Here is a 24165-nt window from a genome sequence, read left to right on the forward strand (position 1 = left end):
GTGCAGCCCACAGAGGGCAAGCCGAAGCAGGGTGGGGTGTTGTCTTACCCCAGAAGCGCAAGGGGTCAAGGAACTCCCTCCCCTAGCCAAGGGAAGCTGTGAGGGACTGTACCTTGAGGAACAGTGCATTCCAGCCCAGATACTACACTTTTCCCATGGTCTTTGCAACCCGCAGACCAGGAGATTCCTTTGGGTGCCAACACCACCAGGGCCCTGGGTTTCAAGCACGAAACTGTATGGCCATTTGGGGAGACACCGAGCTAGCTGCAGGAGTTTTTTTTCACACCCCAGTGGTGCCTGGAATGCCAGCGAGACAGAACCGTTCACTCCCCTGGAAAGGGGGCTGAAGCTAGGGAGCCAAGTGGTCTAGCTTAGCAGATCCCACCCCCACAGAGCCCAGCAAGCTAAGATCCACTGGCTTGAAATTCTTGCTGCCAGCAAAGCAGTCTGAAGTCGACCTGGGATGCTCGAGCTTGGTGGGGGGAGGGGTGTACGCCATTACTAAGGTTTGAGTAGATGGTTTTCCGCTCACAGTGCAAACAAGCCCCTGGAAAGTTCAAACTGGGCGGAACCCACCACAGCTCTGCAAAGCCGCTGTAGCCAGACTGCCTCTCTAGATTCCTCCTCTCTGGGCAGGGCATCTCTGAAAGAAAGGCAGCAGCCCCTTTCAGGGGCTTATAGATAAAACTCCCATCTCCCTGTGACAGAGCACCTGGAGAAAGGGGCGGCTGTGGGTGCAGCTTCAGCAGACTTAAACATCCCTGCCTGATGGCTCTGAAGAGAGCAGCAGATCTCCCAGCACAGAGTTTGAGCTCTGCTAAGGGACACACTACCTCCTCACGTGGGTCCCTGATCCCTGTGCCTCCTGACAGGAAGACACCTCCCAGCAGGGATCAAGAGATACCTCATACAAGAGAGCTCCAGCTGGCATCTGGCGGGTACCCCTTTGGGATGAAGCTTCTAGAGGAAGAAACAGGCAGCAATCTTTGCTGATCTGCAGCCTCCGCTGGTGATACCCAGGCAAACGGTCTGGAGTGAACCTCCAGCAAACTCCAGCAGAACTGCAGCAGAGGAGCCTGACTGTTAGAAAGAAAACTAACAAACAGAGAGGAAGAGCATCAACATCAATGAAAAGGACGTCCACACAAAAACCCCATCCAAACGTCACCAACATCAAAGACCAAAGGTAAATGAATCCATGAAGATGAGGAAAAACCAGCACAAAAAGGCTAAAAATTCCAAAAACCAGAATACCTCTTCTCCTCCAAAGGATCACAACTCCTTGTCAGCAAGACAGAGAATGAGTTTGACAAATTGACAAAAGTAGGCTTCAGAAGGTGGGTAATAATGAACCCCTTCAAGCTAAAGGAACATGTTCTAACCCAATTCAAGGAAGCAAAGAACCTTGAAAAAAGGTTAGAGGAATTGGTAACTAGAATAACCAGCTTAGATAAGAACATACATGACCCGATGGAGCTGAAAAATACAGCACAAGAACTTTGCGAAGCATACACAAGTATCAATAGCGGAATCAATCAAGCAGAAGAAAGGATATCAGAGATTGAAGATCGACTTAATGAAATAAAAGGTAAAGACAAGATCAGAGAAAAAAGAATGAAAAGGAACAAAGCCTCCAAGAAATATGGGACTATGTGCAAAGATCAAACCTACGTTTGATTGCTGTACCTGAAAGTGATGGGGAGAATGGAACCAAGTTGGAAAACATTCTTCAGGATATTATCCAGGAGAACTTCCCCAACCTAGCAAGGCAGGCCAACATTCAAATTCAGGAAATACAGAAAACACCACAAAGATACTCCTCAAGAAGAGCAACCCAAAGACACATAATTGTCAGATTCGCCAAGGTTGAAATGAAGGAAAAAATCTTAAGGGCAGCCAGAGAGAAAGGTCGGGTTACCTACAAAGGAAAGCCCATCAGACTAATAGCAGATCTCTCTGCAGAAACCCTACAAGCCAGAAGAGAGGGAGGCCAATATTCAATGGTCTTAAAGAAAAGAATTTTCAACCCAGAATTTCATATCCAGCCAAACTAAGCTTCATAAGCGAATGAGAAATAAAATCCTTTACAGACAAGCAAATGCTGAGAGATTTTGTCACCACCAGGCCTGCCTTACAAGAGCTCCTGAAGGAAGCACTAAATATGGAAAGGAAAAACCAGTACCAGCCACTGCAAAAACATACCAAATTGTAAGACCACCCACACTATGAAGAAACTGCATCAGCTAACGGGCAAAATAACCAGCTAACATCATAATGACAGGATCAAATTCACACATAACAATATTAACTTCAAATGTAAATGGGCTAAATGCCCCAGTTAAAAGACACAGACTGGCAAATTGGATAAAGAGTCAAGACCCATCGGTGTGCTGTACCAAGGAGACCCATCTCACATGTAAAGACCCACAAGCCTCAAAATAAAGGAATGGAAGAATATTCCCAAGAAAATGGAAAGCAAAAAAAGCAGGGGTTGCAATCCTAGTCTCTGACAAAACAGGCTTTAAACCAACAAAGAGCAAAAAAGACAAAGAAAGGCATTACATACTGGTAAAGGGATCAACGCAACAAGAAGAGCTAACTATCCTAAATATATATGCACCCAAAACAGGAGCACCCAGATTCATAAAGCAAGTTCTTAGAGACCTACAAAGACACTTAGACTCCCACACAATAATAGTGGGAGACTTTAACATCCCACTGTCAATATTAGACAGATCAACGAGATGGAAAATTAACAAGGATATTCAGGACTTGAGTTCAGCTCTGGACCAAGCAGACCTAACAGACATCTACAGAACTCTCCACCCCAAATCAACAGAATATACACTCTTCTCAGCACCACATCACAATTATTCTAAAATTGACCACATAATTGGAAGTATCACCACTGATCCCACAGAAATACAAACTACCATCAGAGAATACTGTAATCACCTCTGTGCAAATAAACTAGAAACTCTAGAAGAAATGGATATATTCCTGGACACATACACCCTCCCAAGACTAAACCAGGAAGAAGTTGAATTGCTGAATAGAGCAATAACAAGTTCTGAAATTGAGGCAGTAATTAATAGCCTACCAACCAAAAAAAGCCCAGGACCAGGATTCATAGCTGAATTCTACCAGAGATACAAAAAGGAGCTGGTACCATTCCTTCTTAAACTATTCCAAACAATAGAAAAAGAGGGACTCATCCTGATACTAAAACCTGGCAGAGACACAATTAAAAAAAGAACATTTCAGGCCAATACGCCTGATTAACACTGATGCAAAAATCCTCCAAAATATACTGGCAAACCAAATCCAGCAGCACATCTAAAAGTTTACCTACCACGATCAAGTCGGCTTCATCCCTCAGATGCAAGGCTGGTTCAACATACGCAAATCAATAAACATAATCAATCACATAAACAGCACCAATGACAAAAACCACATGATTATTTCAACAGTTGCAGAAAAGGCCTTCAATAAAATTCAACACCCCTTCATGCTAAAAACTGTCAATAAACTAAGTATTGATGGAATGTATCTCAAAATAATAAGAGCTACATATTACAAAACCACAGCCAATATCATACTGAATGGGCAAAAGCTGGAAGCATTCCCTTTGAAAACTGGCACAAGACAAGGATGCCCTCTCTCACCACTCCTATTCAACGTACTATTGGAAGTTCTGGCCAGGGCAATCAGGCAAGGGAAAGAAATAAAGGGTATTCAATTAGGGAAAGAGGAAGTCAAATTGTCTCTGTTTGCAGATGACAAGATGGTATATTTAGAAAACCCCATCGTCTTAGCCCCAAATCTCCTTAAGCTGATAAGCAACTTCAGCAAAGTCCCAGGATACAAAATCAATGTGCAAAAAATCAAAAGCATTCCTATAGACCAATAATAGACAAACAGAGAGCCAAATCATGAGTGAACTCCCATTCACAATTGCTACAAAGAAAATAAAATACCTAGGAATCCAACTTACAAGGGACGTGGAGGACCTCTTCAAGGAGAACTACAAACCACTGCTCAAGGAAATAAGAGAGGACACAAATAAATGGAAAAACATTCCATGCTTATGGATAGGAAGAATCAATATCATCAAAATGGCCATACTGCCCAAAGTAACTTATAGATTCAATGCTATCCCCCTCAAGATACCACTGACTTTCATCACAGAATTAGAAAATACTACTTTAAATTTCATATGGAACCAAAAAAGAGGCCATATAGCCAAGACAATCCTAAGCAAAAAGAACAAAGCTGGAGGCATCATGCTACCTGACTTCAAACTATACTACAAGGCTACAGTAACCAAAACAGCATGGTACTGGTACCAAAACAGATATATAGACCAATGGAACAGAACAGAGGCCTCAGAAATAATGCCACACATCTACAACCATCTGATCTTTGACAAACCTGACAAAAACAGCAACAGCAAATGGATTCCCTACTTAATAAATGATGTTGGGAAAACTGGCTAGTCATATGCAGAAAACTGAAACTGGACCACTTTTTTACACTTTATACAAAAAACAACTCAAAATGCATTAAATACTTAAATGTAAAACCTAAGAGCATAAAAACCCTAGAAGAAAACCTAGGCGATACCATTCAGTACATAGGCATGGGCAAAGACTTCATGACTAAAATACCTAAAGCAATGGCAACAAAAGCCAAAATTGACAAATGGGATCTAATTAAACTAAAGACCCTCTGCACAACAAAAGAAACTATCATCATAGTGAATAGGCAACCTACAGAATGGGAGAAAATTTTGTAATCTATTCATCTGACAAAGGGCTAATATCCAGAATCTATAAGGAACTTGAACACATTTACAAGAAAAAAACAAACAACCCCATCAAAAAGTGGGTGAAGGATATGAATAAACACATATCAACAGAAGACATTTATCAGGCCAACAAACATGAAAAAAAAAGCTCATCATCACTAGTCGTTAGAGAAATGCAAATCAAAACCACAATGAGATACCATCTCATGCCAGTTAGAATGGCGATCATTAAAAAGTCAGGAAACAACAGATGCTGGAGAGGATGTGAAGAAATAGAAACACTTTTACACTGTTGGTGGGAGTGCAAATTAGTTCAACCATTGTGGAAGACAGTGTGGTGATTCCTCAGTGATCTAGAACCAGAAATACCATTTGACCCAGCAATCCCATTACTGGGTATATACCCAAAGGATTAGAAATCATTCTACTATAAAGACACATGCACATGTATGTTTACTGCAGCACTGTTCACAACAGTAAAGACTTAGAACCAACCCAAATGCCCATCAACGATAGACTGGATAAAGAAAATGTGGCACATATACACCATGGAATACTATGCAGCCATAAAAAAGGATGAGTTCATGTCCTTTGCAGGGACATGGATGAAGCTGGAAACCCTCATTCTCAAAAAACTAACACAGGAACAGAAAACCAAACACCACATGTTCTCATTCATAAGTGGGAGTTGAACAATGAGAACACATGGACACAGGGAGGGGAACATCACACACCGGGCCCTGTTGGGGGGTGGGGGGCTAGGGGAGGGATAGCATTAGAAGAAATACCTAATGTAGATGACGGGTTGATGGGTGCAGCAAACCACCATGGCACGTGAATACCTATGTAACAAACTTGCACGTTCTGTACATGTATCCCAGAACTTAAAATATAATTTAAAAAAAAACAGTTAGTAGTAAAGTAAACCAAATATATCCTTGAATTGCCTTATTCTCTTACCCTACAAAATCTAAGTTGTGCACTTGGCAATCCCCCACAGTAAACAGGTTCCTTTGTCTCCTCCCAAAAGGCACTTACTCTATTTAGACTAGATAGAATGAACTCTTAGCCATAGCTAATTTATGGATAGGAAAATTGCCGACGAGTTTACTCTTGAATGTACTCTTGAATAGGAATTTAATGAGGAAAAAAAGGGTGAAAAAAGAGGAATTTTTTTCTTACAAAAAGATGAGGGAAAAATCACTCCTCCTACTAGTAAGGCTTACTACATAGATACAGTAATCAAGACAGTGTGGTATTGGCAGAAGGATAAACACATAGGTCAATAGAAAAAAACAGAGAAGCAAGAAATAGACCCCACAAATATACCCAACTGATTTTGACAAAATGCAAAAGTAATTCAATGGAAGAAGAATGGGTGCTAGACTTCTCAACGAATGGAGTTGTAGTAATCGGACAACTATACACCTATTGGCAAAATAATAAGAAAAGAAAACATCTTTGGGATTTAGGACTAGACAAGAGTTATTAGACCTGACACCAAAAGTATGGTCCATAAAAAGAAAAATTGATAAATTGTACCTCATCAAAATTAAAACCTTTTGTACTGAAAAAAAACAAGCAAAAATAATGTTCACATAAAAAGACAAATTACATACTTGAAGGAAATATTTGCAACCACCTATGTGACAAAGGGCTTCTATCTGGAATATATAAGGAAATTTCAAAACTCAATACTAAAAATACAACAATTCAATTAGAAAATGGGCAAAAGATATGAATAGACATTTCACCAAAGAGAATATAGAGATGTCAAATAAGCACATAAAAAATGTTCAACATCATTAACCATTATGGAAAGGACAATTAAAACCACAGTGAAATATTACTACATAGCTATCAGAATGGCTACAATAAAAAATAGTCACAACACCAAATGCTGACAAAGATGTTAATAAACCAAATCACTTATATGTTGCTGATGAGAATGTAAATTGATACAACCACTCTGGGAAAGAGTTTGACAGTTTCTTGTAAAACTAAATGTGCAACTGCTATATGACCCACAAAGACCTGTACAGTAATTTTCAAAGCAGCTTTATTTGTAATAGCCAAAAATTGGAAACAACCCAGATGTTCTTCAACAAGTGAATGGTTAAACAGACCATGATGGTATGTTCATATTGTGGAATACTACTCTGCAAAAACAGAAGGAATTATTAATACATGCAACACCTTTGGTGGACCTCAAGGGAATTATGCTCAGTGAAAAAAGTTTATGTATGTTATGATTCCATTTATATAATAATCTTGAAATAATGTAATATATAAATGGAAAACAGATTAGTAGTTGCCAGAGACTAAGATTTGGGAGGGAGGGGTAACTATAAAGCGGTAGCATGAGGTTGCCTTGATGTAATGGAACAGTTCTACAAATTGTTTGTGGTGGTAGTTACATGAAGCTACGTAAGTGATAGAATTGTATAGAACTACACATACACACTAATACACACAAATGAGTTCATCTATAACTGGTGAAATCTGAATAAACTCTGTAAATTATACCAATGTCAAGTTCATGGTCTTAATAATGTACTATAATTATGCAAGATGATAACATTGGGGACAGAGGGGTGAATGGTGCATGGGATTTCTCTGTACATTTTTCTGCAAATGCTTGTGGATCTATACTTATTTCAAAATAAAAAAAGGTAGAGGTAAAAAGCCCGATCTCAACATGGGTGCGCTGTTGCCTTTTAGTGTGGTATCCTGCCTGCTAGGATCCAGGAAGAAGGCTGGCTATGGAAAGCATTAAGTAGGCAAGTCCCCTTGCAGAGACCTGACCTTGGACTTTCCCTAGGACTGGACACTAGCAACTGCAGGTACTCCTGGCCTTGGACTTCTTTCTTGCCTCTGCTAATGCTTTAGATGAGGGCCAGATGCAATCAAATACATGGGCTGTAACTGATTTCTTTGGAGTCCTTGAAACAAGAAGCCTGGCAGTGAGAAGAAGAAACAGCAGATCTCCCAGGATAGTGTGAGAACTAAGAGAGTAGAATGGAAATGGGTCTTGGGGAGAGGGGAGGGCAGGCATCAGGGCACTTCTCCGAAGAAAAACAAAATGTTGGGCCATTGCCCTTTTCAGAGACCAATCAAAATAAGAAAGAGGGAAGAAGCAGTCTATCTTACTAAGTTGCTTTTAAACTGCAAAATTTTATGCCTGGCTGTTCTACTTGCTAGTTTCATCTCCTGTGATGTGAAGAAAGAATGAGTTTTTGCTTCACTGAAGATTCTACTTCTAAGTTGTGTCCTTAAGGTATTACATGTTAACAAAATGTTGACAGATCAGACAGCATTTTTAAATGCTTCTTTTTTTTGACTATGCTTTTTTTTCTTAAGCAGAAGTACTGCTAGCAGCACCTTCAGTGTTCATTTCATCAAAGGACTCTCTAAACATATCGTGTATTTATTGCGTCTTTGGGAGTAATAATTTTCTTCCCAGCTTTCAAATTACTACATATTTGTTACTGCACCACTGAGGAAGGAGATCATTTGTTATTAGTTCCTTGTCTGACGTGAAACATTTAATTTGAACTGAAACCACTGCACAAGAAAATAAACAGTGCATTTCATACGCAAAAGTGTCTGCTTCCCTCACTGGGAGGCAGTGGGAATCATTTTGACCATATGGTGGGTGTTTATCATCAGATGGCTCATAAGCATCTCTGCTGTCTGCCTCCATTTTCCCTTCAGACCTGGGTACTGGCTCTTTTTCAAAGAAGCTAGGTCAGCTTGCTTTCAGACAGAGCATCTAAACTCTGGAAGCTCACCAGAATTCCAACAGATTTTTTAAAAATACCGATGACCAGACCACACCACTCTCAGGTCTGTCAACAAAACTCTCTAAGGGTAAGACAGTTTAGTGAAATGTTTACTTTCTTGGGCTCTGAAGCCAGACTGCTTGGGTATGACACCCAGTTTTGCCACTTAAGACCATCAGTTTGTGTGCAAGTTATTTAAACTCTCTGGGCCTCAGTTATCTCAAATGCAAAATGAGGGTAATATTACCTAAGTCACAGGGTTATGGTGAGGACTAAATAAAATTAATTATGTGAAGTAATTAAAGCAAAGCCTGGTCATAGTAAACACCTGATGATGTTAGCTGTTACTTTTTCTGATGAGCACCCTTATTCTTAATATCTGATAAGAAAGCTAGGAGTTATTATATTATAAGCTGTTCTTACCACCTTGAGTTCTTCCCCAGCCATTGTTGATAAAATCCCAAACACTGCAAAAAAATAAAAATCTACAGAAGAGAGAAAAAATTCCAGGGCCAGTTTCAAAGGAGGCTCAATACACGGCAGGTTCCATCTATTTATATTGCTTAGAATCAGAAATGTCAAAAGTGAGTGAAAAGAACCCTTTGAAGAAACTTGATGCTTTCTGTTTGAAAATTTTTAACACACACACGTGCATGTGCACGATGCCAAAGAGCCTTGATATTCCAAACTTTATGTCTAAATATTTATGACCATCAACAAATTACTAAAATATGTACAAAGCCTTAGGGGAAAAAATCCATCATCCAAATGATTAGAGCATTAGGATATGTGACTACAGACATATGACAAATACAGCAAACACCATGGTATTCCTTCTTATGCCCAAATCCAGATCTGATGACCCTGGTTTTTATACATCTGTAAATTCACACGAATTGCATTTCCAATTTATTCTAGTTTTTAGCTCTATTTGATGAGTTAGTTTTATGGGAATGCTGTTACCTTGAAACATGTCCTTTGGGTTTCACAAATACATGTGGCATTACTTGGCTCTTTAGATTAAAATCTCATTGCTGTTAAGCAGACCCTTCAAACTGCCCTGGTATTGAAGATTGCCACATGTTGGATTAATTTAGGGGCTATAGAAAGAAAAACATATTGGACAGGGCTCTGAGCTCTCTCATTTCATATGTGAAAGAGATCACGGTATACCTTTTAGTTCTTCCCATGGCACCTAGCACAGTTCATTCAACAGAATAGGTGGACATTCAAGATTTTGAGGCTGTTGAGTAATACAAAGTGAAGTGCCCTGTAACTCCAGGATAATTTACACATATTTAAGATGTGATATATAATATTATTGCCAAAGCACTTAATTTTATTGCTTAAAAATTAAAACACACACACACACACACAAAAAAAAAACCTCTTATTTCCAGACACAAAAGGGAGAGTGATGAAAAGTCTTTTACTTACAGTAATTTTTTGATCTCTTCTGGTTATTGCTTATTTTTTCACTACTCATATTAATCTTCTTTTATTGATGCTCAACTACAAATCATATCTCTGTGTTTATTATGGCTTATTCATAACTCTGAATGAAACATTGTTTGATAAGTGAGCATGAATCACTAGCCTCTTTTATCTAAATCTATCCCTCTACATATTTCTAGTGTCCATTAGCCTATCAGACATCGGTACCAAGCCAAATATATTAAATATATGGTCCTTTCCTGTTAGAGATAGAAATGACACTTCAGCATAAAGTTTGAGAGCCCTCAAATCACATTTTACTGCCATTTTAAAAATATACTTACTACATTATGTTAAATTTAACCCTCAGAATACAACTACCTGTCTTTAATTGAGGCCTTTAAAGAAACTCGCTTCATTGTTACAAGTCTCAGCTTTTTTCACTTCCAGCTACAATAGTAAGTTAATATAATGGAAAGTTACTAACACACAATATTTTTTTTAGCACAGCCCTGTCATATTATAATAAGATTTTACTTTTAGATCTTTGAGCAATTTAACACAGTATGAATTTCATTATCTTAAGAGAACTATTGACCAAAAAAAGGTGGGGAGAAGGAAGAAAAAAAGCGTACTACAAACAGGAGGCTAATGACCTTATGTGAAAAGAAACTTTGCAAATGCTTTTCCTCTAAAATGAAACTGGTCAAAGGCCAGACTGATTGTTGAGGGAAGAATGCTGCCATGGTTAGAAGGAAGTGAGTTAATTGACCTGCTAGGTTATTTCCTAATATGATAGCCTTGAGTTTGTCATTCAATTCTTACTAATGTATCCACAGACAAATGGACTGTGATATTTACATGTACACAGTACAGGGAAACATGTAACTATCTGAGCCATGGGTCTCTTAACAAAAGATTAATGTTGACATTGACACATGGGAAGGTTTTTTTTTTTTTTTTACTCAGAAGACAATGTGTACTCACTTGGCATGTGCAGGTTCAAAGCTGCTAGACAAGGAAATACTCAGAAAGCAATCTGGTGAGGTGACAAACTTCAGTCTCCAATGCTCTGTGAATTTCCAGTCCACCCCACTTCCATCTGCTAAAAGTATAGCAGCCCCAGCTATGGCCCCGCACTCCGCATTGAGAGCAGATGTTCTCTCTGGAAATAGGTTTCTCTTTTAAAGATGAACCATCAGACTCCATTATAATCTATTCTCCTGTCATTTGCTTTGTTATACTTTTTGTGCCAACAGATTGTGAGGCAGCAAACATTTTAAGTGAAGCTCTGTAAAATTGCTAATATCCAGCAATAACTATCAATGCTCAACTGTCACATGATAACTAGATGTGGATGTAAAGTTGGCTAACATTTGCTAAGTGGCAAATAATTATTTGATATTCATTTTAACAAATGTGGTCAAGAATGAACTCATTATTAGGATAGATATGAAATACAGTTTGTGTGTAATTCTATTATATACCACCTTTCTAAAGGGAAAATTGTAAAGGATGAGTGACAAGGATACTTTTTAATATTCTAGTCAATTGGCCTGTGAGATTGGTGACAGTGCGATTGAGTTTCTACTTTCACACCCACAGGCATGTGCACACATACATGCACACAAATACAGAGAGTGAGAGCACAGAAAAAATAAGTAGTTCTCCTAATTTTTTTTTCAATATTGACTTTTCCCTCCTTTAGAGACTGTATCTAGAAAAATTTGCTTTGTGTGCTAGGAATCTAAAGTAGTAAAAAGTTAGATAACTTGCCCAAGGTCACTCAACTGGAAACAGGGAGTAGACTGGATTTGAACTCTGGTCTGTATAAGTCTAAAGATGACAACTTCAGCCACCATACCATACTGCCTCTTCACCCAGGGAGAGAGTGTCATTTTTGAAATGTCCTACAAAATGCTATTATGAGGCCGGGCAAGGTGGCTCACGCCTATAATCCCAACACTTTGGGAGGCCAAGGAGGGTGGATCACCTGAGGTCAGGAGTTCGAGACCAGCCTGGCCAACATGGTGAAACCCCACCTCTAGTAAAAATACAAAAATTAGCTAGGCATGGTGGCAGCACCTATAATCCCAGCTACTCAGGAGGCTGAGGCAGAAGAATCGCTTGAACCCGGGAGGCAGAGATTGCAGTGAGCCGAGTTCGCACCACTGCCCTCCAGCCTGCACGACAGAACAAGATTCTGCCTCAAAAAACAAAATTGCTATTATAAAAGCAGCCTTTAGTACCATCACAAACCTAGCTGACCTTTAGAGACGTCAGGTCAGCAATAAAATCAGAAATGGAACAGCTAATTTAGTTGGCCTTTCAAAGCTCTCACAGCAAAATACCCAGCTCCTACAGTGTGAACACACTACCAAAGATCAAGAAATGAGTCTTTTGGTTTGAAAGTAAGTGAAAAAGAGAGCTGGGCATGGGGAGGTTACAACGTTGTTATTCTGTATGCAGGACTCTGTGTTCATGTATTTGGGTAATGTATTACTAAGGTGGTTAAGGACATGGGACGTGGAGCCTGACAGTTGTTTCATGTATAAAATGGAAATCATAATGTTATCTATTTTGGGGGGTTGTTAGGAAGTTGAAATGAAAGAAAACATGTCAAACTCTTAATATAAGGACTGAAACATAGTAAGCACTCATAGATGTTAGCTACTGCTATTTTTGTTGTTTTACAGTGATTAATTTTTTTGCCTTTCTCCCCAAATAGTCCATGAGCCCCTTAAGTGCAAAGACTCATATTCCTCTTTGAAAAGCAGTAGAATACAACTGTTAAAAGCCGTTTCTAGAACTGTAATACCTAGGTTCAAGCCTGGCTCTGCTATTTACTGCCAGTGAGATCTTTATCTCTCTGTATCTGTTTCCTCATCGATAAAATGGGGCTAATGTTAGAATCAATCTTATAAATGGGCTATAAAGATGAGAGTATAAGTCCTACAAGGACAAAATTTTTGTCTGTTCTGCTCAACAATGTAACCCCAGTGCCCAGACCATACCTAGCACACAATAAGTGCTCAATACCAATTTGCTGAATAGTTACACATAAGGCATTTAAAATAGACCTGGGTACTCAAATAGGAAAAGGTTAGCTATTATTATCACATGTACCATCAGAGCCTAGTACAGTTCTTAGCACAGGTTAGGCCCTCAAAAAATGTTTGCAGAGTGAACAAATGAGTAAATGTCCCTCTAGTCTGAGCTAGCTAGCCATTGCTCATCAAAAACTATGAAGTAAGTGAAGTCTGATCTTTCATGCCCATGGCTTCCCTTACCTGCATCACATACTGTGTAAATGCTTTTAGTAGTTTTTTGTTTTGTTTTGTTTTTTGTTTTTTGTTTTTTGTTTTTTTTTTTTTGAGACGGAGTCTCTCTCTGTCCCCTAGACTGGAGTGCAGTTGCGCAATCTTGGCTCACTGCAAGCTCCGCCTCCCGGGTTCACGCCATTATCCTGCCTCAGCCTCCTGAGTAGCTGGGACTACAGGCACCCGCCACCACGCCCGGCTAATTTTTTTGTATTTTTAGTAGAGACGGGGTTTCACCGTGTTAGCCAGGATGGTCTCGATCTCCTGACCTCGTGATCCACCCACCTCAGCCTCCCAAAGTACTGGGATTACAGGCGTGAGCCTCCGTGCCCAGCCTTAGTATTTTTTTAAAAAATTATGGGGATCAAATGAAATAGAATATCAAATGTGTAGGAGATCTTGCAGATCCACCATTTAAGTCCTCCATTTTGCTCATTTATTCTACATTCATTCAATATTTTTTAATTTTATTTTTAAAATTTTATATTTTTAACTTTTGCGAGTACATAGTAGGTATGTATATTTATGGGTTACATGAGATGTTTTGATACAGGCATACAATGTAAAATAATCACATCATGGAGAATGGGGTATTCATCTCCTCAAGTATTTATCTTTTGTGTTACAAACAATCGAATTACACTCTTTATTTTAAAGTATACAATTAAGTTATTATTGGCTATAGTCACCTTGTTGTGCTATCAAAATAGCAGGTCTTATTCATTTTTTCTAACTATTTTTTTCTACCCATTAATCATCCCCACTTCCCACCCACTTCCCACTATTCTTCCCAGCCTCTGGTAACCATCCTTCTGCTCTCTACCTCCATGAGTTTAATTGTTTTGATTTTCGGATCCCACAAATCAGTGAAAATATGCAATTTTTGTCTTTCTGTGCCTGGCTTATTTCACTTAACTCAGTGATCTCCAGTTCCATCCATGTTGCTGCAAATGACTGGATCTCATTCTTTTTATGGCTGAATAGTACTCAATTGTGTATATGTACCACATTTTCTTTATCCATCCATCTGTTGATAGACATTTATGTTGCTTACAAATCTTAGGTATCGCAAACAATGCTGCAACAAACACAGGAGTGCAGATATCTCTTTGATATAGTTATTTCATTTGGGGTATATATCCGGCAGTGGGATTGCTGGATCACATGATACCTCTATTTTTAATTTTTCAAGGAACTTCCTCCAAATTGTTCTCCATAGTAGTTGTACTAATTTACATTGTCACCAGTAGTGTACAAGTGTTCCCTTTTCTCCACCTTCTCAACAGCATCTGTTATTGCCTATCTTTTGGATATAAGCCATTTTAACTGGAGTGAGATGGTAGCTCATTCTAGTTTTGATTTGCATTTCTCTAATGATCAATTATGTTGAACACCTTTTCATGTCTATTTGCCATTTGTAGGTCTTCTTTTGAGAAATGTCTATTCAAATCATTTGCCCAATTTTTCATTGGATTATTAGACTTTTTTCCTATAGAGTTGTCTGAGCTCCTTATATTTTCTGGTTACTAATCCCTTATCAGAGGGATAGTTTGCAAGTATTTTCTCCCATTCTGTGGGTTTTCTCTTCACTTTGTTGATTGTTTCCTTTACTGTACAGAAGCTTTTTAACTCCATGTGATCCCATTTGTGCATTTTGGGGTTGGTTTCCTGTACTTGTGGGGCATTGCTCAAGAAATCTTTGCCCAGACCAATATCCTAGAGATTTTCCCCAGTGTTTTCATATAGTAGTTTCATAGTTTGAGGTCTCAGATTTAAGTGTTTAACCCATTTTGATTTTTGTATATAGCAAGACATAGGGGTCAAGTTTCATTCTTCTGTATATGGACATCCAGTTTTTCCAGCGCCATTTATGGAAAGGACTGTCTTCCCCAGTGCATATTCTTGGCACCTTTGTCGAAAATGAGTTCACTGCAAGTGTGTGGATTTGTGTCTCCGTTCTGTATTCTGTTCCTTTCATCTATGTGTCTGTTTTTATGCCAGTACCATGCTGTTTTGGTGACTGTAGCTCTGTAGTATAATTTGAAGTCAGGTAATGTGATTCCTCCAGGTTTGTTCTTTTTGCTCAGGATAGCTTTGGCTATTCTGGGTCTTTTGTGGTTCCATATAAATTCATATACATTTTAGGAATTTTTTTTTCTGTTTCTGTGAAGAATGTCGTTGGTATTTTGATAAGGATTGCATTGAATCTGTAGCTTGCTTTGGGTAGTATGGACATTTTAACAATATTGATTCTTCCAATCCATGAACACGAAATATTTTTCCATCCTTTGGTGCCCTCTTCAATTTCCTTCATCAGTGTTTTATAGTTTTTATTTAGAGATCTTTCACTTCTTTGGTTAATTCCTAGGTATTTAATTTTATGTGTGGCTATACTAAATGGGATTACTTTTAATTTCTCTTTCACATTGCTCACTGTTGGCATATAGAAATGCTATTGATTTTTGTATGTTGATTTTGTATCCCAAAACTTTACTGAATTTGCTTATCACTTCTATGACTTTTCTTGTGGAGTCTTTAGATTTTTCCAAGTATAAGATCATATCATCTGCAAACAAGAATAATTTGACTTCTTCTTTTCCAATTTGGATGCCCTTTATTTCTTTCTCGTTTGATTGCTTTAGCTAGGGCTTCCAGTACTATGATAAATAACAGTGATGACAATAGGCATCCTGGTCATGTTCCAGATCTTTCTGTTCTTCCCCATTCAGTATAATACTAGCTGTGGATCTGTAGCATATGGCTTTTTATTATGTTGAGGTGTGTTCCTTCTATACCCAGTTTTTCTGGGATTTTATCATAAGAGCATGCTGAATTTTATCAAATGCTTTTTCAGCATCAGTTAAAATGATCATATGGTTTTTTCTTTCATTCTGTTAATATGATGAATCAAACTGATTGATTTGTGTATGTTCAACCATACTTGCATCCCAGAGATAAATCCCACTTGGTCATGATGAATGATCTTTCTAGTGTAGTGTTAAATTTGGTTTGCTAGTATTTTGTTGAGGAAGCTTGCATCAATACATCGATATATTAGACTACAGTTTTCTTTTTTTGATGTGTCTTTGTCTAGTTTTGGTATCTGGGTACTACTAGCCTCATAGAATGAGTTTGGAAGTATTCCATCCTCTATTTTTGAAATAGTTTGCTTAGAATTGGTAGAAGTTCTTGTTTAAATGTTCTTAGAATTCAGCAGCTAAGCCTTCAGGTCCCAGGCTTTTCTTTACTGGGAAACTTTTTATTACAGTTTTGATCTTGTTACTTCTTATTGGTCTGTTCAGCTTTTGGATTTCTTCCTGGTTCGATCATACTACGTTGTATGTGTCTAGGAATTTGTCCATTTCGTTTAGATTTTCCAATTTATTGGTATACAGTTATTCATAGTGGTCATTAATGGTCCTTGGAATTTCTGCAGTATCATTTGTAATGTCTCCTTTTTCATTTCTGATTTTATTTATTTGGGTCTACGCTCTTTTCTTCTGTTAGTCTAGCTAAAGGTTTGTCAATATTGTTTAACTTTTCAAGAAATGAACCTTTCGTTTCATTGATCTTTTGTACTTTTTCATTTCAATTTCATTTATTTCTTCTATTTTATTTATTATTTCATTTATTCTACTAATTGTGGGTTTGGTTTACTCTTGGTTTTCTAGTTCTTTAAGATGCATTGTTAGGTTATTTGAAAATTTCTTCTTTTTGGATGTACACACTGACAGTTATAATCTCTCTTAGTACTGCTTTTGCTGTATCCCACAGGTTCTGGTATGTTGTGTTTCCATTATCAATTCTTTCAAGAAATTTCTTCATTGACCCACTGATCATTCAGGAGCATATTGTTTAATTTCCATGTATTTGTATGCCATACCCTCCACCCCAGGTAGTAAGTGCTCTAACTAGAGACATTTCAGTATCACACATTGCTATAATCACAGGCCCAAATCATGACTAGTTCCACACCAATGTCCCCTTTAAATATTATACCTCTTATTTTAGGAAGTCAAACTTGCTATTTGCCAATGATATGATCGTATACCTAGAAAACCCTAAAGACTACTCCAAAAGACTCCTAGAATTGGTAAATGAATTCAATAAAGTCTCAAGTTACAGAATCAATGTATACAAACCAGTAGCACTGCTATACACGAACAAAGACCAAGCTAAGAATCAAATCCAGAACTCAATCCCTTTTACAATAGCCTCACAATTGCTGTGTTCTTCCTGCCCCAGTGCCCAGAGTTGCTCTCTGTACCATGCTGATGCAGCAGGGCCTGGGGGAGGGATGGCATTCCTGATTCAAGACTGTTTTCCCTTTCTCTTTAATGCGCTTTCAATAATACAAAGTCAAAACCAGGTACTATGAGTGCTCACCTGTTTTTTTGGCTCTTAAGAAGCTGCTTTTTCTGTGTAGATACTTGTTGAGTAGGTGTCCTTGCTGGGGTGGAAGATAATCAGTGGAGCCTTCTATTCCACCATCTTGCTCCACCTCCCGCAGAAAGTCTCATTCAATAACTTTTTTTTTATTGAGCACCTACTATAGAATTGACTTGACCCTATGATTAGTAGCAGGGCCTACAATGGTGAGCAAAATAGTTATGATCTGCCCTCATAGAGCTATGGATCTTACAGTCTAGTGATTTCTTTGTAATTCATTTTCCTCATCTGTAAAATTAGGAAGTTGAATGATTTCTAAGGTGCCTACCAGTTGAGAGACAAAATATAGCATGCTGCTTAAAATCATGGGTTTTCAAATCAGGCTGCCTGTATTTGAATCCTGCTTCTTATACTTGCTAGCCATTTGAACCTCATCAAGTAAAGGGTCTCCACGCCTCAGCTTCCTCGTCTGCAAAGTGGGAATAATAATAGTAACTATCTTACTATCATGTTAGGTGGACTAAATGAGAAAATATATATATATATATATATTCCACTTTGATAATGCCTGGTGCATACTAAATGCCCAACAAATGGTGGTTAATACTATTCAAGTTCTGTCACTCTATGATATACAATCTCTAAGTCCCCTTATGGGAAGTTGCTCCTTATAAAGCCCCACCTTGACTACAGAGGTTGGATAGGGCCAACCTGCATATCGCACCTATTTTTCTGAAATTTCTTTGAATTCCACCTCGTTTTAACTGAGTTGTCAGATTTAAAAAATGGAAGGACTTGGCCCTTGCTAAGATTTCTTACCTGAAGCACATTGCCAGGAAGCATCAGCACTCCCAGTCACCACTAAGTGGCAAACCAGGAGTGTGTGTGTGTTTTTCCTCGAAGTTCCAAATGTGTAGTTCTCTTTCTTACGCAGTCCTGGGAAAGGAAGCCTTCTTGTGCTCACTGCCTCCTCACTGAGGCTACTGTTTTGATCATGTTACTCCTTGGTTTATCAAAGCCAGCTGCAGCTTCCTCACAACGTGTTGGGAGAGATTTAAAACACCTTCAGCTGCCTTTGGAGACCTCAAGAGGGATTGGTCCAGGTCAAATATTTGACTTGCCATCTGAAAGCAAGTAAGTGAAAAACTACCATATGCTCAACTCAAGCTCCACCCAGGTGTAGGTTCTGGAGCCAGCCCAGTCCACACCACCACCATCACCAGGGTGAGTCTATGGCAAATGACGATGACCCTCCCTGATATAGCCTCATTAGAGTTCTTTGTGTCAAACTAGCTATTTTCTAAGCAAAATCATACCACCATTTGTCAGTTGGACCCCTTACTGACAACAATTACCAACTGAAAAAATGAAAACATTTGTAGATACTCCTCCTTCTTACGCACCTCCTCCAAGAACTTCTGAAGCACTCTTCCCTGTATCCACACACCCACACACAAATACACACACACACTTTTTTGTTTCCAATGCAATCAAGGTCAGGGATAAGAGTGATAAAGATGGTGCGAAGATGGTGCAAAGTTAAGCTTGACATTTATTCTATGAGGAAACACTACAGGAAACTGCAAAGAGCTTACATCTTTCAAAAAACATAGAGCTTGAACTTTAAAAAAAAAAAAAGTCAATGCATTGCAAAAAAAAAAAAAAAGTAAGTGAAAGGCAACTATTGGCAAAGCAGATTACTTTTCCCATGGATTGCAATGATAAAATATAGCACTGAATTAGAATTTCTTCAAAAGGAAAAATCCCATGTAGAATAGATGAACTGAGCGAAAAACTTTGAGGACAAAGAAATTAGCCATAATTGGCAACCCATAGCCTCTGGGAGGTTGTGCTCCACCAGCAGCTCAGTGTTTTCTACTTTTCCTTAATAGAATTCTCCTAATTCTAAAATGTATGACACCTCCTCTGTCTAGCCTCAGTTGTTCTTCAGTCTGTAAAACCTGGAGTTGCCTCCTATTTCTGGACCAGACTCTACTCTGGGTCTTCTGATTTCAGAGAGATCAAAACGTCAAAATTCCAAAAGACAGAGTCTAACTCAAGGGTTCTGCTTCTCTCTTTAATCTCTATTAAATACAAGCCCCAGATGTATTGATAAGTATTAAAGCTGTGTGATGGGGACATTGCATTTATCATACTATTCTGTCAATACTATATAGATTTGAAATTGTTCATAATAAAGTTCAAAAACTCAAGGCCCAAACAATTTCCAGATACTACCTAGTTTGCTTCCAGCCTTCCAACAACAGGAAGGAATTCTGAGTTTTCATCTACCAACAGATAGTACTGAACCCCACACCTGGGCATCACACACTTGGTGATTGGAGAGTAGACAAGAGAGGGGACTTTGCCTACAGTCCACTCATGCAGGAAGCACAGCTCCAAAAAAATGTATTGGGCTGTTCTGACCCATTCATTTCCTTTCCTGGGGCTGATTGGAATTTCTTTTCACCTCAGTTAGCTTGGAGAAGAACAAGTATCTCCTTAATCTATACATATTTTTAAAAAGTCCATTATTTCAAAATGCTGCAAAACAAGTTACCTTACACGGACATAGATAAAGTGAAAAGACATGGTGATGAGTTAATCTCTGTAATCAGAAGCACCTGATATTGAAAATGGATTTAAGACACATTCTCATTTTCTGACTTTACTCTCCCACATGGCCTTTTTTATTTCTCACAATTATCTTTCCTCCTCTCCCCACTGCCTATTCTGTTTTACTCACCAGGACCTCGAGCCTCTGCACCATTTTGCCACATATCTTCCCTCTTTCTAGTCTTTATCTTCTATTAATATTAATAACAGCATCTGTGGCTGCATTAAGGCAGTTAAGAAAATAACGGGATCACTTCTTACCTACTCCATGGCCACTACCCTCATTCAAGCTACTATCTTATCTAGCATGGATTATTGCAGCAGCCTCCTAAGTGGTCTCCCTGCCACTGAGCGTTGAATCTGTACATTCCTTTGGCAGTATGGCCATTTTCACAATATTGATTCTTTCCATACATGAGTATGGGATGTGTTTCCATTTGTTTGTGTCACCTATGATTTATTTCAGCAGTGTTTTGTAGTTTTCCTTGCAGACGTCTTTCACCTCCATGGTAAATTATATTCCTAGTTTTTTCTTCAGCTATTGTAAAAGGGATTGAGTTCTGGATTTGATTCTTAGCTTGGTCTTTGTTCGTGTATAGCAGTGCTACTGGTTTGTGTACATTGATTCTGTAACTTGAGACTTTATTGAATTCATTTACCAACTCTAGGAGTCTTTTGGAGTAGTCTTTAGGGTTTTCTAGGTATACAATCATGTCATTGGCAAATAGCCAGTTTGACTTCCTAAAATAAGAGGTATAACATTTAAAGGGGACATTGGTGTGGAACCAGTCATGATTTGGGCCTGTGATTATGGCATTGTGTGATACTGAAATGTCTCTAGTTAGAGCACTTACTACCTGGGGTGGAGGGTATGGCGCTCTGCATTCTGAAAACCAGGGAATCTTTGTCTGAGGGATGCAAAAAGCCCCTGGAGTTGTAAGCAAAAGTATGTGTGTGTGCTTCTCCAATGCTAAAATTTAGTAGTTGCAACAGACATCATATGGTTCACAAAGTCTACAGTATTTATTATCTGGTCTTTTGCAGAAAAAGTTTGCTGACCCTTGGCATTCAGAGTTGAATAGAATATATCAGTGCCTTTTAGGTAGTAAGGATAAGTATTGTTTGTGAAATGTTCATTTCAGTTATGAGCATGTGACACTGAATTGAGATGCAAAATGCATTGTTTAGTATGGAAAGCAGACAAAAAATTGAAAACCACTCTTGTAGTCTATGTTAAGGGATTGGATTTCATCTTAAGAGAAACCATTGTTGGATTCTAAGCTGAGTTGTGATTTAACCAGTGTTGTGTTTTAGCAAGATTCCTCTGGCTGCAGTATAAAGAATGTGATAAAGAGAGGCAAGGTGAATAAGAGGCAGATTAGGAGACTATTTCCATCATCCAGATGAAGGATGCTGAGGCCTGGGCCACTGTGGTAGCAGTGGGAATAAAGTTTATCAGACATTTTTGGAAAAGTTCCTGAGTATTGATTTAGGGGCATAAAATACCTCTGTCTTGGTCTCTGACAATATCCCTATTTTTCTGCTAGAAGGGAAAAAAAGAATGTTAGAACGGCACTGGCAAAGCAACTCAGTGTTTACCATTGCATTTAACTCAGCTCTGACATCCAAAACCCTGAGAACTATATCCCAGACTGAGAAGTGCTGGGCCACTGAGGCAAATTAGGAACACTTCAACAATGAAGTATTTTAAATGGCTTGGCATTTAGCCTCTCTATATAGAGGTCTCCTTTGGAGAAGCTGGTCTACTCATTACCAGAGACTTTATGCATGTAGTTGGGATCGTTCCTCAGCTCCCTTCCCATTTTTTTTTTTATCTGACCTCACTTCTTAATTTAGCTCCATTTCAGATCCCTTGCTAAGTTAGAAGGGCCAGATGAAGGTCCTTCGGGGGCCTATCAACACCTCTTCAACTCCACTTGCACTATGAGGCAAGCATAGAAACCAATCCCTAGGCTTCTGATTGCCCAGTGCTTACAGCTGATTCAGCCACATTTCCCAGCTGATTGTTCCACCCCCGATCTCTTTCCTTGCAGTAGCCTGGGGTTTCAATTTCTTTTACAAACATGCCTCCCCTACCCACTACCACTATAACCTTGCCTTAGCCATCAACCTCCCTCACCCTCAACTAACTTTCTGGATCTAAAAAAGTAGCCAAGACCTGTTGCTAACATATACTGGGATTGACTCCAACTGTGCTGACCTGTAATACACATGAATACATCCTTGACAGATTGCTTGAAACCCAGAGGGACAGATGAATACAGGGTTACCAGACCTTCATTTCAAGGGCTGTTGACTAGCTAGAGTGCACAGACTCTAAAAGGAGCCACAGTTCTGCCATGCATGACTAATGCAACTTGAAAGGCAGGCACTTGGTAGAGAAGGAGTAGGAACATGCCTAGGAGGCTGATCAAAAGCACCCTAGCCTGAAAATCCCACTGCTGCAATCACTTCTTTGGGCCATGACATTGGTTTCCCAAAGATCTCAGTTAAAATGTCAACATGTCCTCCAGGATGGATAAATGCCTTAAGACATTAGCACCTACCATTACTACTCTAGTCAGGAAGAACTTACCATGTTGGTTGCTGATCCCTTAAGAGTAATTGAAAAGAATAATAATTCCTAAGTAGACAAACATGGATTTGAATCCTAGCTCTGTCATTTAGTGTTCATGTGGCCCTGGGCAAGCTCCCCTAAGCTCTCTGAGTCTCAATTTATTTGTGTATAAAATGTAGATATCATTATTTACTACGTAAGTTGCTGTAAGGATAAAATGGGATAATGTTTGTAAAGTGTCTTGCACACAGTAAGTGCTCATGAAAAGACTTGGTCCCTTAAGCCCTAGCACTCCCCACTCTGCCCAGGTCTTGAATGTCCACATTGAATGAGTTGCCCACAAAAAAATGGTAAATGGTTGGAAGTGTCAGATATGTGCAAGTAGGTTATTTGCCAACGTGTAGAAAGGTTAAGACCTGAAACTCTCAGGGAATACCTCTCTGCTCCCATCCTAGAGAATTTTGTTCTCGCGATAAGAGCCCCATCCCTTTACAAGTGGTGGCAGTGCATTCAAGGTGTACCTCTCTAAGGCAAGTCTATACCCCCAAACCGAAATAATAAAAATGGTTACTCGTATCTTTGTCTCTGGAGCAGCTATCATCTCCTGTTGGAGAATGCCCTCTTACATATCAATTCCCATCATGGTTTCTTGACTTCACACACAGCATGTCAGTGACACATATGTGTCACAAGCACTTTCGATAGTTTTAATAACGTGTTTTGTTTTATAAATTTGAATCGATTTGAGGTTACGCCTATAATCTTGCCACTCTCCCACACTTAGGCAGAGTTACTGGTTTCGTCAATGACCTTGGATATGCCTGTGTTGCATATGTAAATGCCCTTCATCATGTGAGACTTTATTTTCTCTTGCTCATTCCTTGGAGGATCTTATTTTAGGATCGAGTTGCTATTTCCTTTCCAGCCCCTCCCCCTGAAAAAAAAGGTAGTTGAAATGGGGTCAAAGAAACTTATTTTCTTTGTGTTTTTGGTGTGAACTACCTCAGAAGTACTCATATAGCCTCCTATGACTTAATGTCCTCCAAGCCAGTGACAGAGCAGCCTCCTTCCCATATGCCTTTATGAACATCTGGGAGTCTGCGTGAACATCTGTACATACATCAGTATATGTGACTCCATGTGTCCCAGCATGTCTGTGCTTGCATTCTGATGCAACACCTGTTAAACTACAGTACCAAATTGCTGGCTATTGCTGTGGCTTTAGGGCTAATTCTGGAG

This window comes from Homo sapiens, chromosome X (genome assembly GCF_000001405.40).
Source record: "Homo sapiens chromosome X, GRCh38.p14 Primary Assembly".
NCBI lineage: Eukaryota > Metazoa > Chordata > Mammalia > Primates > Hominidae > Homo > Homo sapiens.